The sequence below is a fragment of the Homo sapiens genome, chromosome 18, assembly GCF_000001405.40.
Source record: "Homo sapiens chromosome 18, GRCh38.p14 Primary Assembly".
In the NCBI taxonomy this organism is placed as follows: Eukaryota; Metazoa; Chordata; class Mammalia; order Primates; family Hominidae; genus Homo; species Homo sapiens.
In genome coordinates, this window is record NC_000018.10 from 35,888,800 (window position 1) to 35,910,487 (window position 21,688).

Consider the following 21,688-nt stretch of genomic DNA (forward strand, 5'->3'; position numbering starts at 1 on the left):
CATCAATTAGCATTTGGCATTAAGCAATGCAGAACATTTTCCAAGGCTCCAAGGGCCTCTCCACACCTGAACATTTTTACAAGTTTCATTCTCTCCTGTTTGAATAATATTTGGGGATCTTGACTTGCAGTCTTGACTGACAGATAGTTTTTCTCAGCTGCCAAAAGAATAACCAATTTTCTACGGTAGCTCTTTTCTAACTCAAACAGTACAGCTTCAACAAAGCTCTTTACTCTGCTACACAATTTTTTTTCAAAGAAAAAAAGTAGCTGTGCTTCAAACCACTAATCATAATTTATTATAACAATGCTTCCCAGGAAGCAGAGTTCTTGTTATAAATAACTGCTGAGGAGCAGGATGGAGTAACTGTTTATTTAGTTTCAATCTACTTGTTCAGAATTTGTCACCCATTAAAACTTAACTCACAATCAGATGTAAATTCAAAATGTTGTGGAGGCATTGTCAACTTTGGGCTAAATATTTCCTAGTTATTTTCTCTCTTTTTTTCAAGAATTTTATTTATGTTATATCTGCCCTTTTTTCTAATTGAGGGGGAAAAATTTACCCTGAAATGTTAACGCATTTGTGCCTTTTCCATGAGGTTGAAGTGTACGACTTTTGGACATCACAGATATTTTCAAATGCTGGGTTGTGAGAATTTGGAAATGTGAAGCTCTACCGGGCACTCCTTCATCAAGTATCAAAATGAAGAGTCCTCTTGTTCCATAGTCACACTACTGAGTTTTGTACTGATCCTCAGTTTCCTTATCTATACAATGGGGATGATAACATGTAGCTTACACAATTGTGAAGATTGAGTATAATCTAAGCATTTGGCACAAGACTGAATATAGGAAGCAGTTCTTACTTTTATTCTTTACCAGCTAGGGATAGGCAACATGACAAACAGTGAAGTGGGTGAGAGAGTAAAGTATTTTTGCTTATGGCTGATCTCTGAGTCCATAATGGGAATTGCCTACAAATAAACAGCGGAGCATGATAGTCTCTAAGCAGGCCAGACTTCTGAAATCCTCAATGCTTAATTCACAATGCAGTCACCAGAACTAAATGGTTTTAAATTACTTGAGTCTCAAGTGGCTGGGGTGACAAATACATCATTCAGTCACCTTCCTAGCTGCTTCTGACTTTCAGATCATTTTGTACCATGGACTGAGATTTCCTTCTTCCAAAGGAAGGAAGGGATTTGGCTCCTGTCCTTCTCTGGTGTGAATTCATAAGACTACAGAGTTCTGAAAATTCCTGGCAAGAAAGTTGCTTCATAATGATGTTTCACTTATAGTGATTAAGATGTCACTTCTAGCAGCTGAGAATGTTGTTATATAGAGATCTAATTCGGTGGTACCTAACGATATGAAAATGGCAGCACACAAAAGTTTCTGATGCATTTCATTTTTTGTGGATGCAATTCATAGTTTTATTACTGTCTGTAATGAGATAAAGCAATATGTGGTTATGGCAAATGCTAAAAACAAGAAAAGCATTGTGCAGTAAAGAGTTAACTCAGCAGGTTTGGGCTGCTCAAACCCTGAACATTCTCAATCTTCAGGACTGGCCCTTGACCCAACTCTTGATTGATAACCTCTGAGCTTGTGGTGTATCCTGCCTGAAGCCTGAGGCCCTGGGCCACACTAGATAGTGTGTGCTCATAATGTTATTTATGGTAAACAACTGTTTTTGTGTGCCTGAGACTTTCGGCCACACTGTATCAGTTTGACCTCTGGAATGCTGAGTTCTGAGTGGCTGAGGTCAGGCATGCAGGTGCTGTATGCTTATGTGACTGTTCTCCTGAATACCAAGACTCAAGTGAGTTTCCCCGGTGGGCTACGCTTTGCACATGTCACATTGTTGCTGGGAAAATTAAGCACTATCTGTGTGACTTCACTGGGTAAGGAAAACTAGAAGCATTCCCTAGTTTTTCTTAGACTCCATCCTCTGTGCCTTTTCCCTTTGCTGATTTTAATCTGCGTTCTTTTGCTGTAATAAACTGTAACTGTTAGTATAACAGCTTTTCTGAGTCCTACCAGTGAGTCATAGAACCTGAAGATGCTCTTGGGAACCCTCAGTGCAAGCATAAAAAATAAGCATCACCTATTATCCTACTTCTAAAGATAATATTTTCCTTAAAAATATATATATGTATGTGTATATATTATATACACTCGAACACTTTTGTTTATGGAAAATAGATCATACTACATACTCTGTTTAGTAACCTTTTCTTGGTTAATATATAATGAACACATTTTTATGCCCTTAAATATAGAAATATTATTTGTATACCTTTCCATTGTATAGATTTTGGTGCATTTATTTAACCAGTCATCTACTGATAGTCATACGGGTTCTTTATCTCTTTTTTGGCATTACTAACAATGTTCCAATAAACACTCTTGTAGGTAGCCTCTTTGCAAGCTCATCTAATTATTTGTAATACAGGGACTGTAATAAATATTAAATATTAAAAGCTTTGGTGACAATCACTTGAAGTGATTAATAAGATGTGTTAAAACAGGTAATGTTTTCAGACTTCTACGCAGAAGAATCCTGATCTTTAAAATGATTGGAACTGGGCTAGAATCTGAATCCAGTAAATTTATGGAAACCAGGGTAGCCATCATTTTTCAATATGTCCATATCATGGGTTATTAGGTCCTAAAATATGCATTCTCCATTGGTCTTAAAGATTTATCCCATGAGTTTCCATTGAGATTTATTATACTCCACTTCCCAAAAGTTAGTTAGCTATTTAAAAAACAAAACAAAACAACCTGGCCTGGCCTAAAACCAGTAAGTTACATGATAAAAGAAAAAAAATCCACCAGTAGTTTAACTGTCTACCAGGATAAAAGTTAACAATCTTCCACTAGTAGTTTAACTGCCTGCCAGAATAAAACTTAACAATTTTAGATAAAAACAACATAGCCCAGGATCTCTACAATGTATCATTCACGATGTCTAGCTTTCAGAAAAACTTGCTAGAAAATGTGATCCATTACAAAACGTGATCCATAAAAAAGAGCTAAAAAGCAAATTAAGCATACCCATTAATGACTCAGATATCAGAATCACCAGACAAGAATTTGGAAAAAAAATACCAAAACAAACAAAAAAAGTTAGTATAAATATGTTAAAGGAGTTAGAGGAAAATATGTAAAATGAGTGAACAGAAGATGAAAAATTCCAAAAGAGAAAGAAGAACTCTTAAAAAGAACCAAATGGTTCTTTATAGAATTGAAAATTCAATATCTAAAACAAAGAATTCATTAGAGGGCTTAACTGAAAACTGAACACAGAAGAAATGAACAGTAAAATCAAAGATAGATCAGTAAAAACCATCCAAAATAAGTCACATAGAGAAAATAACAATAAGCAAAAACATCTGGCCAAGCATGGTGGCTCATGCATATATGGAGTCCCAGAAGGAGAACACAGAATTGGGGGAAATATTTTTGGAAACAATGAATAAAATTGTTCCAAAATTGATGAAATACATCAATCTACAGATCCAAGAAGCTAAGTGTACCCCAAGCAGAAGAAGCAAAGGAAACCACACTGTACACATCATAGTCAAACTTCAGAAAACAAAGATAAAGAGAAAAATCTTAAAAGTAGCTGAAGGGGGAAAAGGGACATGTTGCACTCAGGAGAACTATGTCAATAATAATTGATGTGGTGGTTAATTTTAGATGTCAATCTGACTGGATTAAGGGATATCCAGATGGCTGGTAAAGTGTTATTTCTGGGCATGTCTCTGAAGCTGTTTCTAGAAGAGACTGGCATTTGAATCAGTGGACTGAATAAAGAAGATCTACTCAAGGTGTATGGGCAACATCCAATTGGCTGAAGGGCCATAGAATAAAAAGGCAGAGGAAAGGTGAATTTCTCCCTCCCCCCACCACTCTCGCTCTCTCCTCTGGAGCTGGGGCACCCTTCTTCTCCTGCCCTTGGACATCAGAACTCCAGGTTTTCCAGCCTTTGGACTCTGGGACTTGTACCAGCAGCCCCCTTAGACCTCTGGCCTCAGATGGAGTGTTACACTGTTAGCTTTCCTGGATCTGAGGCATTCAGACTAGGTAGGACTGAGCCACTTTACTGGCTTCCTTAGGTCTCCAGCTTGTAGACGGTCTATCATAGGACTTCACAGGTTCACAAAATCACATAATCCATAATAAATCCTCTCTCATATATCTGTATCTATCTACATATCTATCTCTCTATCTCCTATTGGTTCTGTCTCTTTGGAAAACTCTGACTAATACAACTGACTTCTCATAAAAAATGATGGAAACCAGAAGACAGTAGAATGTCATTTCTTAAGCACTAAAAGCAAATACTAGTCTACTTAGAATTCTAGACCCAGTAAAAATATCCTTCAAAATGAAGACAAACTACAAACATTTTTCAGACAAATAAAAATAAGGAGAATTTATTACCAAGAGACCCACACTGCAAAAAGATGCTAAAGGAAAATGATCTTAGATAAAGGCCCAGATCTGCAGGAAGAAGTAAACCGTCATGGAAATGGTGATGATGTGGATAAACATAGGATTATTTTAAATATTTATCTTTTTAAATTTGAAAACAAGCTTATTCTAAAATCTATATGGAAAGGCAAATGACCTAGAATGGCAAGAAAAGCTTTGAAAAAGAATAATAAAGTAAGATAAATTACTCTACCCAATTTTTAGACTTACTATATAGCTACAGTAATCAAGAAAGTGTGGTATTGGTGGAGGAATAAACATATAGATCAATGAGACAAAACACAGAACCCAGAAAAAAAAACAAAACAAATAGGTCCAAACAACTTTGACAAAGGTACAAAAACAATTCAATGGAGAAAGGATAGTCTAGTCAATAAATGGTGCTGGACCAATTGGCAAAAACAAAACAAAAACAATAAACCTGACACCATTTTTTTTATGAGACAGGGTCTCACTCTGTTACCGAGGCTGGAGTACAGTGGCATTGTCATAGCTAACTGTAACCTCAAACTCCTGGACTTGACTGATCCTCCTGTCTCACCTCCCAAGTAGGTAGGGCCATAGGCATGTGCCAGAATATCTAGCTAATTTTTACTTTTTAAATTTTTTTGTAGGGATGGTGTCTTGCTCTGTTGCCAAGGCTGGTTTCCAATTCCTGGCCTCAAGAGATCATCCTGCCTCATCCTTTCAAAGCACTGGGATTACAAGCACCTTAAATCTTTTATTAAAAAAATTAGGCTGAGGCCGGGCACAGTGGCTCACACCTGTAATCCCAGCACTTTGGGAGGCCAAGTCGGTGGATTATTTGAGGTCAGGAGTTCAAGATCAGTCTGGCCAACATGGTGAAACCCTGTCTCTACTAAAAATACAAAAAAATGAGCCAGGTGTGATGGCAGGCACCTGTAATCCCAGCTACTCAGGAGGCTGAGGCACAAGAATTGCTTGAACCCAGGAGGCAGAGGTTGCAGTGAGCTGAGATCACACCACTGGACTCCAGCGTGGGTGACAGACTGAGACCCTGTCTCAAAAAAGAAAAGAAAAGAAAAGAAAAATTTAGGCTGGGCACGGTGGCTCATGCCTGTAATCTCAGCACTTTGGGAGGCTGAGGCAGGAGGATTACTTGAGCCCAGGAATTGGAGTCCAGCCCTGGAAACATATGGAGACCTCGACTCTATAAAATAAAAATTTTTAAATTAGCTGGTGTGGTGGTGCACACCTGTAGTCCCAGATACTCAGGAGGATCACTTCAGCCTGGGAGATCAAGCCTGCAGTGAGCTGTGTTTGTGCCATGCATTCCAGCCTAGGCGACAGAGTGAGACCCTGTCTCAAAAAAAAAAAAAAAAAAAAAAAAAATTCAAAATGAACCAGAGACTTAAATGTAAAATGTACAACTATAAGACTTTTAGAAGAAAACACACGAGAAAATATTTGAAACCAAGGGCTAAGTTCAACATCATTAGACATTAAACCCAGTGCCAAAAACATGCTCCATAAAAGAACAAATTGATATATTAAAATGCTTTTGCTTTGTGAAGGACCATAAGAGGATGAAAAAAACAAGCCACAGACTGGGAGAAAATACGTGCAAACTACATATCTGACAAAGGAATTATATTGACAGTATATAAAGAACGCACAAACTCAACAGTAAAAAAGCAAGCAATCCAATTAGAAAATAGGCAAAAGACATTAACAGACATTTGACAAAAGAGGATATAAAATGAACATAGAAAAGTTGTTCAAAAACATTAACCATTAGAGAAATGCAAATGAAAACACACTATGGTTTGCATTTGTCTTCCAGATTTCATGTGTTGTTGGAAACTTAATCCCCAATTTAATACATTGATTGGATGTGGGGCATTTGGGCAGTAATAAGGATTCTATAAAGTCATCAGGATAGGTTCTCCATGATGGGACTGGTGGCTTTATAAGATGAGAAAGGGAGGCTTGAGTGACATGCACTCTCTTGCTTTCTTGCCATGCTTTCCACCATGTTATGATGCAGCAAGAAGGCCCTCGTCAGACACTGGCACTGTGCTCTTGAACTTTCCAACATCCAGAATTGTGAACTAAACAAATTATGTTTATTATACATATTTTAAAGTGTAAAAAAAAATTAGAGGTAGGTGTCTCACTAGGTGGCCCAGGCTTGTCCTGAACTCCTCATCTCAAGCAATTCTCCCACTTTGACCTCCCAAAGTGCTGGGATTACCGCCATAAGCCACCATGCCCAGCTTCCGTCCATTGAAAATTACCCAGTCTATGGTATTCTGTTATACCAACAGAAAATAGAATAAGAGAAAACCATAATGACATATCATCACAAATCTATTAGAATGACTAAAATAAAAAATAATAATAGTAAATGCTGGTGAGAATGTAGATAAACTGGATCTCTCATACATAATGGTGGAAATGTAAAATGGGACAATCACTCTAGAAAATAGTTTGGCAATTACTTATAAAATTAACATACACTTACATTTGACCCAGAACTTGCACTCCTGGACATTTATCCCAAAGAAACTAAAACTTGTACATGAGTGTTCATAGAAGCTTTATTCATAGTAGCCAAAATATACCAACAGCCCAAATGTCCTAAATGAGTACATGGATAAACTGTGGTACATCCCTACAATGGAATAATATTCAGCAATAAAAAGGAGCAAGCAATTGATACATGATGCATATTGCATTGGTCTCAGAGACATTATTTCAAGTGGAAAAAGCCTAACTTAAAAATATTATGTACTGTATGATTCCATTTATATAACATTCTCAAAATGACCAAATTAAAGAGAGAACAAATGAATGGGACACAACTGTCAGACTTTTCTGCAGTAAGGTCACTTTCTTGCCTTTGTAATTAGTGGGGATGTACTTTGAGATTACATAAATACCCTGTTGCTCATCAAACTTTTGATTTATTGCTTTTTAAATGTCAGCATGGGTTCATGGTTTCCTACTTTATCTTATAGCAGTTATAATATGCTGCTAGCAATATGGGATTTTTTGTTTTTTAAGATGTTTTTGTTTTTTAAGATGGAGTTTCACTCTGTTGCCCAGGCTGGAATGCAGTGGTGTGATCTCTGCTCACTGCAACCTCTGCCTCCCAGGTTCAAGCGATTCTCCTGCCTCAGCCTCATGAGTAGCTGGGATTACAGGCACCTGCCACCACAGCTTGCTAATTTTTGTATTTTGGGTAGAGACAGGGATTCACCATATTGGCCAGGCTGGTCTTGAACTCCTGACCTCAGGTGATCCGCCCACCTTGGCCTCCCAAAGTGCTGGGATTACAGGTGGCCATATGTATTTTGATGATTAAATAATCCCAGATATGGCCAGTGAGGGGCTCTTCATCTAATTTCTTGTCCCTTAGACAAAACTTCATCATTTTCTAAAGAGATTTCTTACTTCCTTTTATAAGATGTTCCAGGTTCCTTTTGCATCTCTCCTGCCCCAGCCCTGGAATCAGCCATTTCTCCAAAAAGTTCTGGGCCCTTTCAGTGAAAAATGACATTTAGAAACCAAGATCTGGCACAATGTGTTCAGATTTATTGGGATGTCACAGTTACCAGGCCCTTCTCAGTGCACAGAGGTAGGGAATGGTGTGTGTGTGTGTTTTCTATACCTATCTCTATTAAAAACAATATGCTTACACTAATACCTCCAACCTTACTCCAACACCACAGTTTATTCTGGTGTCTTCCCTTTCCATATTATAAAACTCCCTCCTTTGTCAGTGACATACTGGTTCTATTTTCCTGAATATATTTAGTTATTTGATTACTCTATGTAACCAATTTTCCTGACAATGCCCCGTGCCACACAGATGCCCCTCCTTACCCAGCTCAGTTCCAACTCCTCATGGTGAGCAGCTCCTGGGAGTAACCACTCCTCACCCACCTGCCCTGGACCAGTGTGAGGGTCCCTGTCTTGAGGCTCCTCTTACTCAGCACAATCTACTGGCTTTAGGAAGAGCAAGTAGTAACTTTTCTATGAAAACCTAATAATAAAAATCCTACAACATGGCTTACCTCCATAGTGATTCATATCTAGTTCACACTCATTTACTTTCTCAAGTTTTGTCTGAGTTCCAGCTCTGCACTTGTCCCAGTCTGGTTTGGCTCCTGCCAGTCTTTACGAAGACAGACACCACAAAGACAGTTCCCAGGGGAGGGAGCCAAGATGGCCAAATAGGAACAGCTCCAGTCTACAGCTCCCAGCATGAGCAATGCAGAAGATGGGTGATTTCTGCATTTCCAACTGAGGTACCGGGTTCATCTCACAGGAGAGTGTCAGACAGTGGGTGCAGGACAGTGGGTGCAGCGCACTGAGCGTGAGCCGAAGCAGGGCGAGGCATCGCCTCACCCGGGAAGTGCAAGGGATCAGGGAATTCCCTTTCCTAGTCAAAGAAAGGGGTGACAGATGGCACCTGGAAAATCGGGTCACTCCCACCCTAATACTGCGCTTTTCCAACTGTCTTAGCAAACGGCACACCAGGAGATTATATATCGTGCTTGGCTAGGAGGGTCCTACGCCCACGGAACCTCACTCATTGCTAGCACAGCAGTCTGAGATCAAGCTGCAAGGTGGCAGCGAAGCTGGGGAGGGGCGCCCGCCATTGCCAAGGCTTGAGTAGGTAAACAAAGCAGCCAGGAAGCTTGAACTGGGTGGAGTCCACCACAGTTCAAGGAAGCCTGCCTGCCTCTGTAGACTCCACCTCTGGGGGCAGGGCATAGCCAAACAAAAGGCAGCAGAAAACTCTGCAGACTTAAATGTCCCTGTCTGACAGCTTTGATGAGAGTAGTGGTTCTCCCAGCACGCAGTTGGAGATCTGAGAACGGATAGGACTGCCTCCTCAAGTGGGTCCCTGATCCCCGAGTAGACTAACTGGGAGGCACCCCCCAGTAGGGGCAGACTGACACCTCACATGGCCGGGTACTCCTCTGAGACAAAACTTCCAGAGGAACGATCAGGCAGCAACATTTGCTATTCACCAATATCCGCTGTTCTGCAGCCTCCGCTGCTGATACCCAGGCAAACAGGGTCTGGAGTGCATCTTCAGCAAACTCCAACAGACTGCAGCTGAAGGTCCTGACTGTTATAAGGAAAACTAACAAACAGAAAGGACATCTACACCAAAACCCCATCTGTACGTCACCATCATCAAAGATCAAAGGTAGACAAAACCACAAAGATGGGGAAAAAACAGAGCAGAAAAACCGGGAACTCTAAAAATCAGAGCACCCCTCCTCCTCCAAAGGAATGCAGCTCCTCACCAGCAACAGAACAAAGCTGGACAGAGAATGACTTTGATGAATTGAGAGAAGAAGGCTTCAGACGATCAAACTACTCCAAACTAAAGGAGGAAGTTCAAACCCATGGCAAAGAAGTTAAAAACCTTGAAAAAAAATTAGATGAACGGCTAACTAGAATAACCAATGCAGAGAAGTCCTTAAAGGACCTCATGGAGCTGAAAACCACGGCACAAGAACTATGCAACAAATGCACAAGCCTCAGTAGCCAATTTGATCAACTGGAAGAAAGGGTATCAGTGATGGAAGATCAAATTAATGAAATGAAGTGAGAAGAGAAGTTTAGAGAAAAAAGAATAAAAAGAAATGAACAAAGCCTCCAAGAAATATGGGAATAAGTGAAAAGACCAAATCTACATCTGATTGGTGTACCTGAAAGTGACGGGGAGAATGAACCAAGTTGGAAAATACTCTGCAGGATATTAATCCAGGAGAACTTCCCCAACCTAGCAAGGCAGGCCAACATTCAAATTCAGGAAATACAGAGAACGCCACAAAGATACTCCTCAAGAAGAGCAACTCCAAGACACATAATTGTCAGATTCACCAAAGTTGAAATGAAGGAAAAAATGTTAAGGGCAGCCAGAGAGAACGGTCGGGTTACGCCACAAAGGGAAGCCCATCAGACTAACAGCTGATCTCTTGGCAGAAACTCTACAAGCCAGAAGAGAATGGGGGCCAATATTCAACGTTCTTAAAGAAAAGAATTTTCAACCCAGAATTTCATATCCAGCCAAACTAAGCTTCATAAGTGAAGGAGAAATAAAATAAAATACTTTACAGACAATGTAAATGTTGAGAGATTTTGTCACCATCAGGCCTGTCCTAAAAGAGCTCCTGAAGGAAGCACTAAACATGGAAAGGAGCAACTGTACCAGCCACTGCAAAAACATGCCAAATTGTAAAGACCATTGAGGCTAGGAAGAAATTGCATCAACTAACGAGCAAAATAACCAGCTAACATCATAATGACAGGATCAAATTCACACATAACAATATTAACCTTAAATGTAAATGGGCTAAATGCTCCAATTAAAAGACACAGACTGGCAAATTGGATAAAGAGTCAAGACCCATCAGTGTGCTGTATTCAGGAAACCCATCTCACATGCAGAGACACACATAGGCTCAAAATAAAGGGATGGAGGAAGAGCTACCAAGCAAATGGAAAACAAAAAAAGGCAGGGGTTGCAATCCTAGTCTCTGATAAAACAGACTTTAAACCAACAAAGATCAAAAGAGACAAAGAAGGCCATTACATAATGGTAAAGGGATCAATTCAACAAGAAGAGCTAACTATCCTAAATATATATGCACCCAATACAGGAGCACCCAGATTCACAAAGCAAGTCCTTAGAGACCTACAAAAAGACTTAGACTCCCACACAATAATAATGGGAGGCTTTAACACCCCACTGTCAACATTAGACAGGTCAACGAGACAGAAAGTTAACAAGGATATCCAAGAATTGAACTCAGCTCTGCACCAAGCAGACCTAATAGATATCTACAGAACTCTCCACCCCAAATCAACAGAATATACATTCTTTTCAGCATCACACCACACGTATTCCAAAACTGACCACATAGTTGGAAGTAAAGCACTCCTCAGCAAATGTAAAAGAATAGAAATTATAACAAACTGTCTCTCAGACCACAGTGTAATCAAACTAGAACTCAGGATTAAGGAACTCACTCAAAACTGCTCAACTACATGGAAACTGAACAACCTGCTCCTGAATGACTACTGGGTACATACCGAAATGAAGGCAGAAATAAAGATGTTCTTTGAAACCAACAAGAACAAGGACACAACATACCAGAATCTCTGGGACACATTCAAAGCAGTGTGTAGAGGGAAATTTATAGCACTAAATGCCCACAAGAGAAAGCAGGAAAGATCTAAAATTGACACCCTAACATCACAATTAAAAGAACCAGAGAAACAAGAGCAAACACATTCAAAAGCTAGCAGAAGGCAAGAATTAACTAAGATCAGAGCAGAACTGAAGGAAATAGAGACACAAAAAAACCCTTCAAAAAACCAAAGAATCCAGGAGCTGGTTTTTTGAAAAGATCAACAAAATTGATAGACCACTAGCAAGACTAACAAAGAAGAAAAGAGAGAAGAATCAAACAGACACAATAAAAAATGATAAAGGGGATATCATCACCGATCTCACAGAAATACAAACTACCATCAGAGAATACTATAAACACCTCTACACAAATAAACTAGAAAATCTAGAAGAAATGGATAAATTCCTCAACACATACACCCTACCAAGACTAAACCAGGAAGAAGTTGAATCTGTGAATAGATCAATAACAGGCTCTGAAATTGAGGCAATAATTAATAGCTTACCAACCAAAAAAAGTCCAGGACCAGATGGATTCACAGCCGAATTCTGCCAGAGGTACAAGGAGGAGCTGGTAACATTCCTTCTGAAACTATTCCAATCAATAGAAAAAGAGGGAATCCTCCCTAACTCATTTTATGAGGCCAGCATTATCCTGACACCAAAGCCTGGCAGAGACACAACAAAAAAAGAGAATTTTGGACCAATATCCCTGATGAACATCAACGCAAAAATCCTCAACAAAATACTGGCAAACCGAATCAAGCAGCACATCAAAAAGCTTATCCACTATGATCAAGTGGGCTTCATCCCTGGGATGCAAGGCTGGTTTGACATATACAAATCAATAAACGTAATCCAGCATATAAACGGAACCAAAGACAAAAACCACATGATTATCTCAATAGATTCAGAAAAGGCCTTTGACAAAATTCAACAACCTTCATGCTAAAAACTCTTAGTAAGTTAGGTATTGATGGGACGTATCTCAAAATAATAAGAGCTATTTATGACAAACCCACAGCCAATATCATACTGAATGGACAAAAACTGGAGGCATTCCCTTTGAAAACTGGCACAAGACAGGGATGCCCTCTCTCACCACTCCTATTCAACATAGTGTTGGAAGTTCTGGCTGGGGCAATCAGGCAGGAGAAGGAAATAAAGGGTATTCAATTAGGAAAAGAGGAAGTCAAATTGTCCCTTTTTGCAGATGACATGATTGTATATCTAGAAAACCCCATCATCTCAGCCTAAAATCTCCTTAAGCTGACAGGCAACTTCAGCAAAGTCTCAGGATACAAAATCAATGTGCAAAAATCACAAGCATTCTTATACACCAATAACAGACAAACAGAGAGCCAAATCATGAGTGAACTCCCATTCACAATTGCTTCAAAGAGAATAAAATACCTAGGAATCCAACTTACAGGGGACGTGAAGGACCTCTTCAAGGAGAACTACAAACCACTGCTCAATGAAATAAAAGAGGATACAAAGAAATGGAAGAACATTCCATGCTCATGGATAGGAAGAAGCAATATCGTGAAAATGGCCATACTGCCCAAAGTAATTTAGAGATTCAATGCCATCCCTATCAAGCTACCAATGACTTTCTTCACAGAATTGGAAAAAACTACTTTAAAGTTCATATGGAACCAAAAAAGAGCCCGCATTGCCAAGTCAATCCTAAGCCAAAAGAACAAAGCTGGAGGCATCACGCTACCTGACTTCAAACTATACTACAAGTCTACAGTAACCAAAACAGCATGGTACTGGTATCAAAACAGAGATATAGACCAATGGAACAGAACAGAGCCCTCAGAAATAATGCCACATATCTACAACTATCTGATCTTTGACAAACCTGACAAAAACAAGAAACGGGGAAAGGATTCCCTATTTAACCAATGGTGCTGGGAAAACTGGCTAGCCATATGTAGAAAGCTGAAACTGGATCCCTTCCTTACACCTTACACAAAAATCAATTCAAGATGGATTAAAGACTTAAATGTTAGACCTAAAACCATAAAAACCCTAGAAAAAAACCTAGGCAATACCATTCAGGACATAGGCATGGGCAAGGACTTCATGTCTAAAACATCAAAAGCAATGGCAACAAAAGCCATAATTGACAAATGGGATCTAATTAAAGTAAAGAGCTTCTGCACAGCAAAAGAAACTACCATCAGAGTGAACAGGCAACCTACAGAATGGGAGAAAATTTTTGCAATCTACTCATCTGACAAAGGGCTAATATCCAGAATCTACAAAGAACTCAAACAAATTTACAAGAAAAAAACAAACAACCCCATCAAAAAGTGGGCAAAGGACATGAACAGACACTTCTCAAAAGAAGACATTTGTGCAGCCAAAAGACACATGAAAAAATGCTCATCATCACTGGCCATCAGAGAAATGCAAATCAAAACCACAATGAGATACCACCTCACGCCAGTTAGAATGGGGATCATTAAAAAGTCAGGAAACAACAGGTGCTGGAGAGGATGTGGAGAAATAGGAACACTTTTACACTATTGGTGGGACTGTAAACGAGCTTAACCATTGTGGAAGTCAGTGTGGGGATTCCTCAGGGGTCTAGACCTAGAAATACCATTTTACCCAGCCATCCCATTACTGGGTATATACCCAAAGGATTATAAATCATGCTGCTATAAAGACACATGCACACGTATGTTTATTGTGACACTATTGACAATAGCAAAGACTTGGAACCAACCCAAATGTCCAACAATGATAGACTGGATTAAGAAAATGTGGCATGTATACACCATGGAATACTATGCAGCCATAAAAAAGGATGAGTTCATCTCCTTTGTAGGGACATGGATGAAGCTGGAAACCATCATTCTCAGCAAATTATCACAAGGACAAAAAACCAAACACCGCATGCTCTCACTCATAGTTGGGAATTGAACAATGAGAACACATGGACACAGGGAGGGGAACATCACACACTGGGGCCTGTTGTGGGGTTGGGGGAGGGGGAGGGATAGCATTAGGAGATATACCTAATGTTAAATGAAGAGTTAATGGGTGCAGCACACCAACATGGCGCATGTATACATATGTAACAAACCTGCACATTGTGCACATGTACCCTGAACCTTAAAGTATAATAAGAAAAAAAAAGACAGTTTCCAGGTTTCCCACACAGAAGACAGCATGTCTGCCTTAACCTGATCTGTTCTGTAGTGGATCCTGCTGGGTTGTTCAGGCCATGATGGTGACACATGACCCAGAGCCTTCCCTGCATCTCGATCCGCTCAACTTCCCGGCTTTCCCCTCAGTTTTCACTTAAGTGCAGCCTAAAATGACCATAAAATGTCATTTTATGCTAGTTCCCTCCAGATCATTCAAGAGAAGGAAAAACACTGCACCAATTACATTTTAAAACTAGCTCATTTCTTGTAAAAGAGGAGGCACTGTGAACACCATGAGGCTGGTGAAAAGCAAGGGAATAAATGGATCCTTTCTATCTAGGACACAGGGTTGGTGTGGAAAGTAACATGCAGGTAGTCCTGGGGGCCAGGGGCTCATCTGAATCTGATTGAAGGGTGCTGCCCCAAGAGCAGGCTCTTTGGGGAAATTCGAGCCATAGTCCTCAGCTGTGAAGGCAGAGTCACTCAGCGGACCCTGCATCCAAGCTCCCACCCCAGTGCTGTGACAGCCTGCACAGGTGAAGGAACCTTGCTTTTCACACCTCTCACCTCCAGTTTTAGGGTCCTCTTCTGGGGCTTCTTCCCTATTGGGAGTTCATGATCTGATTTCATTTCCTTCTGGAGTCTCTGTCATGTTGGCAGTAATGTCTTCAATGAAACCAGCTAATGCCTACAGTGGTTTAATCTCCCACCTTGCAGAAAATATTCACATTTTAATAGACAACTCCTAAAAATGCAATGCTTTTCCGATCTGGAGGCGGTCCAGTGGTGGGCTTCTCATCAATGGGAGAGATGTTTGGGGAGAAACTGCCTTCCTTGCTACCCTCCTACCCCCATTGTGGAGTCTCAGTCACCTGGTCTGGGGACCGGAGGTGAGGAGCAGAAGGCATCCTCAAAGCCCAGACCCAAAGTAGGCTGTGTCACCCTGCAGCCAGCACCAGCTACCTGCACTGGGCCAGAGGTGAGCCAAGCTGTGTACGGAGAGACGAAACTAGGACAAAAAAGGGGGCTGAATGGGTGACACCTGGGGTGGTCCGGGTCGGCCTCTCTCCCAACACCCCACCCACCTGCCCACCAGAGCCTGGACTTTCCCATGGTCTCTGTGCAGTCCCCTGTGTCGAGTCCCTCAGGACAAGCGGAGCAGGCTCTGCTGCGGACCTGCGTCCCTCCGGCTGCAACACAAGACACGAGGGGTCAGAGCAGCGCCCGGGTCCTGTGTTGTAGCCCGAGGTCTCACACTGTGTCATGGTGAGCCCGACCTGCAGCACCTGCCTGGCCTCCTCTTCCAGGTGGGCTGCCCAGCTTCTGCTTGGGGAATCCGACTTGCTGTGCATCCCGATGAGGAAGCTGTAAAAGAACAGAGGTCAGCATCAGTAGAGGGTCCTGGGACTGGGGCTCAGCAGAGGCCTTGACCTGAGGAGTCTTGGCTGTGATGGGCGAGGAGTCCTGCCCGGGGCAGCATAGATGACCTGTGCTCCAGGTGAGCAGCGAGCCTGATGGAAATGCTCAGAGAGGTGAGGGGCTTTGCACGCAAATACTTCACTGTCCACATACCTTTTCCTTTAAACAATGAATTATGGCTGTTTACAAGCCACTAATTACAGTTTATCATAACAATACTTCCTAGGAAATGGGTTCCTACTCTAATACTATGATGAGAATTTTGTAAACGCCAAGCTAGTACAATGAATTGCCCTGAGTTATAATAAATATCTGCACTTTGGGAGTAAGGCAGTAAACACAACATTACTGCTATCCATTTCCTATAGGCCTCTGAAGGATTTATTACTTATTTATGGTTTCTTTTTATTCAAAAACTCCTACATATCATTTTTTTGCAGATTATTTTGGATGAGTCATTTCTGGTTTTTTTTACAAAATAAAACGCGGTAGGCCCAGAACCCAAAAAGCGTCCCAACTTCAGTCCCTCCAAAGGTGACTTGTTGAGATTCCTCCCCGAGGCGCGCAATCCTTGGCTGAGCTCCACAGAATTCCTGGGCTGTGGGAATGAGGAGTAAGCGGCGGTGTTGCTCTCCTTATTTCTAGCTTCAGTAAAGTGGACCCATCAGTTTTGTTCAACGAATCTTTTGGGAAGGCTGTAGACTTTGAGCCCAGATGGGACATTAAACAGAAGTGTAGAAATTAGGTGTCACATCGTTTTCTACCAACAAAAGAAGATAAAAGTAGAAGGAAGAGGGATAACAATATCATGCCCACATTTTGTACAGGAACTTAAAATTGAACAATTTAGAGGGAGGGAAATCCCTTCTCTTCCTAAATTGTCTAAAAGACTGAGGGGCTCTTCCCAGCTGACCAGGGTACTCCCCACTATATCTGAGTCTGTGCAGACCTATACAGGCACATGTTCTCCAAATAAGTTATTTTCCCCTCCAAACTCCTTTCTCAGGCTGGGCACTCATGATCTAAGACTGCATCAGGCCCTGAGAAGCAACAGAGGACTCATACACTTTTTTTGTGTGTGGTTTTTTTTATTATACTTTAAGTTTTAGGGTACATGTGCACAATGTGCAGGTTTGTTACATATGTATACATGCGCCATGTTGGTGTGCTGCACCCATTAACTCGTCATTTACATTAGGTATATCTCCTAAAGCTATCCCTCCCCTCCTCCCCCCATCCCACAACAGGCCCCAGTGTGTGATGTTCCCCTTCCTGTGTCCAAGTGTTCTCATTGTTCAATTCCCACCTATGAGTGAGAACATGTGGTGTTTGGTTTTTCGTCCTTGTGATAGTTTGCTGAGAATGATGGTTTCCAGCTTCATCCATGTCCCTACAAAGGAGATGAACTCATCCTTTTTTATGGCTGCATAGTATTCCATGGTGTATACATGCCACATTTTCTTAATCCAGTCTATCATTGTTGGACATTTGGGTTGGTTCCAAGTCTTTGCTATTGTGAATAGTGCTGCAATAAACATACGTGTGCATGTGTCTTTATAGCAGCATGATTTATAATCCTTTGGGTATATACCCAGTAATGGGATGGCTGGGTCAAACGGTATTTCTAGTTCTAGATCCCTGAGGAATCGCCACACTGACTTCCACAATGGTTGAACTAGTTTACAGTCCCACCAACAGTGTCAAAGTGTTCCTATTTCTCCACATCCTCTCCAGCACCTGTTGTTTCCTGACTTTTTAATGATCCCCATTCTAACTGGTGTGAGATGGTATCTCACTGTGGTTTTGATTTGCATTTCTCTGATGGCCAGTGATGATGAGCATTTTTTCATGTGTCTTTTGGCTGCATAAATGTCTAATTTTGAGAAGTGTCTGTTCATGTCCTTTGCCCACTTTGTGATGGGGTTGTTTGTTTTTTTCGTGTAAATTTGTTTGAGTTCTTTGTAGATTCTGGATATTAGCCCTTTGTCAGATGAGTAGATTGCAAAAATTTTCTCCCATTCTGTAGGTTGCCTGTTCACTCTGTTGGTAGTTTCTTTTGCTGTGGACTCGTACACTTTTTAACACATCATTGTCTCAGGGCCCAACACACGGCCTCTGAAAAATGAGAGCCTGTCACAGAGCCACCAGGCAGTGGCCCGCTACTGGCTATTGGGAGAAGCTACCCAGTCCCCAGAACCCAGCCCCCTGCTTCACAAGTCCAGACACCTGATGCTATCCAAGTGCCCAAGTTTGGGGGGCTGGCTCCTGCTGACAAAACTCTGAAGAAACTGAATTCTGCACATGCTTACCTTGCCTTTGAAAGGCAGCAGAAGTGGAGTTGCATTATTGGGTTCTGTCTGAAGAAAGTGAAGGTATCCCAGTACTCATCTGCAACTTCTGACTACAAGCATGTGCAGCAGGCACCCTGGAACTGTATTTTCAGAAACTAAAGAACACAGAGGCAGCTAGGACAGTGGGGAGAAAGCCCGTGCTGATGCAAGGACAGGGAGACCTGAGCTCTGGCTCTGGCCTCGCAGCAGGGAGCAAGTCATGATGAGTAAATCCCAGAAGCTGACCCAGAGTGGCTGCCTGCATGACTTGCTTACTTGCATGATGCTTAGACAGCTGGCTGATTCTCAGATTCCCCAGGAACCAAAATGCAGGCCAGGCGGTAACAGAGCCTCAGCCTGTGGGAGCCCCCTGCACCTGCCTCACAGCACATCCTCCCAGGTGTTGCAGGCCAGGCCTTCTTTCCCAAGTCAGAAGCCAGGCCCATACGGGCAGCTCAGCTGGAACAACGGAGGTGCAGGTCCAAGGCCCAAATAGTGGAGAGTAGGTGGTGTTGCAGGAAGATGAAGACAAAACAAGCCTCCTGTCCCCCCTTACTGCCCGGGATCTTCTACCTCAACCCTACCCAACATGGTCCTGAGGGGAACCAAATCACTTCCTCTATGCCCATCCTGAGATGGGGCTATCTGACTTGTTTGTGCCAACAAGAGGTCAGAGTGAACAGAATGGGAACCAGAAAGAAAAGCTTAGAGGAAAGCTTCAAGCTCATGAAGCCCACCTGCGGGACAGGGGAACAAAGAGATCAGCAGGCAGCGGGGTGCAGTAGGCTGGGGCAGAGGGGAAAGAACGCTGTGGTTATTAAGTCTGTAGCAGGTGGAGGGCCAGGGGTCTTCTCATGAATAAGTTCTCGAATTTTTTTTTTCCTTATTTTTTATTTCTTTTGAGACAGAGTCTCACTCTGCCACCCAGGCTGGCGTGCAGTGGCACAATCTTGGCTCACTGCAACCTCCACTTCCTGAGTTCAAGAGATTCTCCTGCCTCAGCCTCCCGAGTAGCTGGGATTACAGGCACATACCACCATGCCTGGCTAATTTTTGTATTTTTAGTACAGACAGGGTTTCACCATGTTGGCCAGGCTGGTCTCAAACTCCTGACCACAACTGATCCACCCACCTCTGCCTCCCAAAGTGCTGAGATTACAGGCGTGAGCCACTGCGCCCAGCCTCAGAATTATTATTTAAGGAAATTACTCACTCTTGTATTCATTTAACAAACATAACAGGCATTGCGCTAAGCACTGGACATAAGGTAGTGAATGCCTCACCCATTTGGGCCACGGTTGGATTCTGTCACCTGCAGCCAAATGCTATCCTATTTCACATCGAAAGGGACAGAAGAGAGGTTAAGGGTGTGGGCTGTACGAGGATCTAAGCTTCAGAAGCCTGGGATGGGGAAGGATTTGGGGAAACCAGGGGAGAATTTACTAATTGAATGGCCAGTGGCCTTGGTGAAGTGCAGCTGGATCTCAGGGAAGAAATGAGCCCACATAGAGTGGCCTGACAGCATCCACCCAGGCAGGGTAGTAGGGGCTTCTGGGCAGACTCAGGACAGACTGAGGCCTGCAGCCAGAAGGCCGTGGGCAGAACTCCCACCCTGGGCTACACATCCAGGGTGCAGGCCCTTGGGTGTCTCCAGGAGGGAAAGAGCTTACTACGACCTGTCTGGTAGTTTGAGAAGAAGGGCTGTGCCAGAACCAAAGCACCCAGAGGGCCCTGATTGTGTGCATGCCAGCAAAGGCCTGACTTCCCTGGGAGACAGGCTCCTCGGCCCCTTATGGGGCTGTCCCCAGCGTACCCCAAGCATGAACCTAGACTGTCCTAGTATAACAGACTTGGCTGAGGGAGCAATGAAGAAAGGAGCTGTGGTCCTCTCTCCAAGCCTGCTGCCTGGCCCAAGGACAGGAGACGTGCCCTGAGGGAGATGGCGAGGATGAGGTCTGCAGGAGTGGGGCAAGAGAGACCAGGACAAAGGTGCTCTTCATTGACTAGGAGCTCTAGAAACCTCCTAAGACTGGCCAAAAAGTGTGAGACTGCAGAGCTATTTGAAAAATGGCCATCATTATGCGGGGTGGTGGGCTGTAGCTGAAGCGCCATAGAAGCGGGCCCATTTGCCGCAGGTTCTTTTTGCACTCTATTTTCCTCTATTTATTTTTACACCCTAAAAAAAAGGCTTGTACATCAAATAGTCACCTTTCATCCATTTGTAATTCTTTCCCTCTGGGGCACCATAAATTTATTTTATATTATTATCATATTAGAGAACCTAATACGTTTTCTCTCCTTGCCTTCAGCACGTGGCCTCACAGATGCTTTCCAAAGCAGGCCCAAGAACACATGGAGAGGGGAGAGGAAGGCAGGGGAGGGAAGGGAAGGGAAGGGCAGGAGCTACTGCAAACCATCCCCACTCCTCACCAAGCCACATTCACTTATTTTGCTCAATAAAACACCTCCTTAATAAAATGTCTACACACATTTTTCAAAGAATGCTATTGAGGATGGCTCACACCTATAACCCCAGCACTATGGAAGGCCAAGGCAGGAGGATCGCTTGAGCCCAGGAGGCTGAGGCTGTAGTGAGCTGTGATCATGCCACTGCACTTCAGCCTGGGCAATAGGGTGAGACCCTGTCTCCAAAAACAAAAAATAAATAGGCCAGTAACGGTGGCTTATGCCTATAATCCCAGCACTTTAGGAGGCCAAGGCTGGTGGATTGTTTTGAGTCCAGGAGTTTGAGACCAGCCTGGGCAACATGGCAAAACCCTGTCTCTACAAAAAAATACAAAAATTTACTGGGTGTGGTGGTACACACCTGTAATTCCAGCTACTTGGGAGGCTGGGGTGGGAGGATCGCTCGAGCCCAGGAGACAGAGGTTGCAGTGAGCTGAGATCACGCCACTGTACTCCAGCCTAGATGACAGAGCCAGAACCAGTCTCAGCAAAAAAATAAATAAATAAATACTGCTAATGAGAAGAGAAATAATAAGCACCTTAGATTCCACCATGTTATTTGGAGAAAAGCATATAGCAATGGAGAAGTGGTACTGACCTCAAAATCAGAAAAACAGTTTTTGA

At 42.4% G+C, this 21,688-nt stretch overlaps 1 non-coding gene across 1 annotated transcript; it reads right to left on the minus strand.

The window, feature by feature from the left end:
* Positions 1-16,018: 16,018 nt before the first annotated feature.
* MIR187 (microRNA 187) lies at positions 16,019-16,127 on the minus strand. The gene has a single exon (NR_029616.1). It is a non-coding gene; the product is annotated as a microRNA 187 (primary transcript).
* Positions 16,128-21,688: the final 5,561 nt, after the last annotated feature.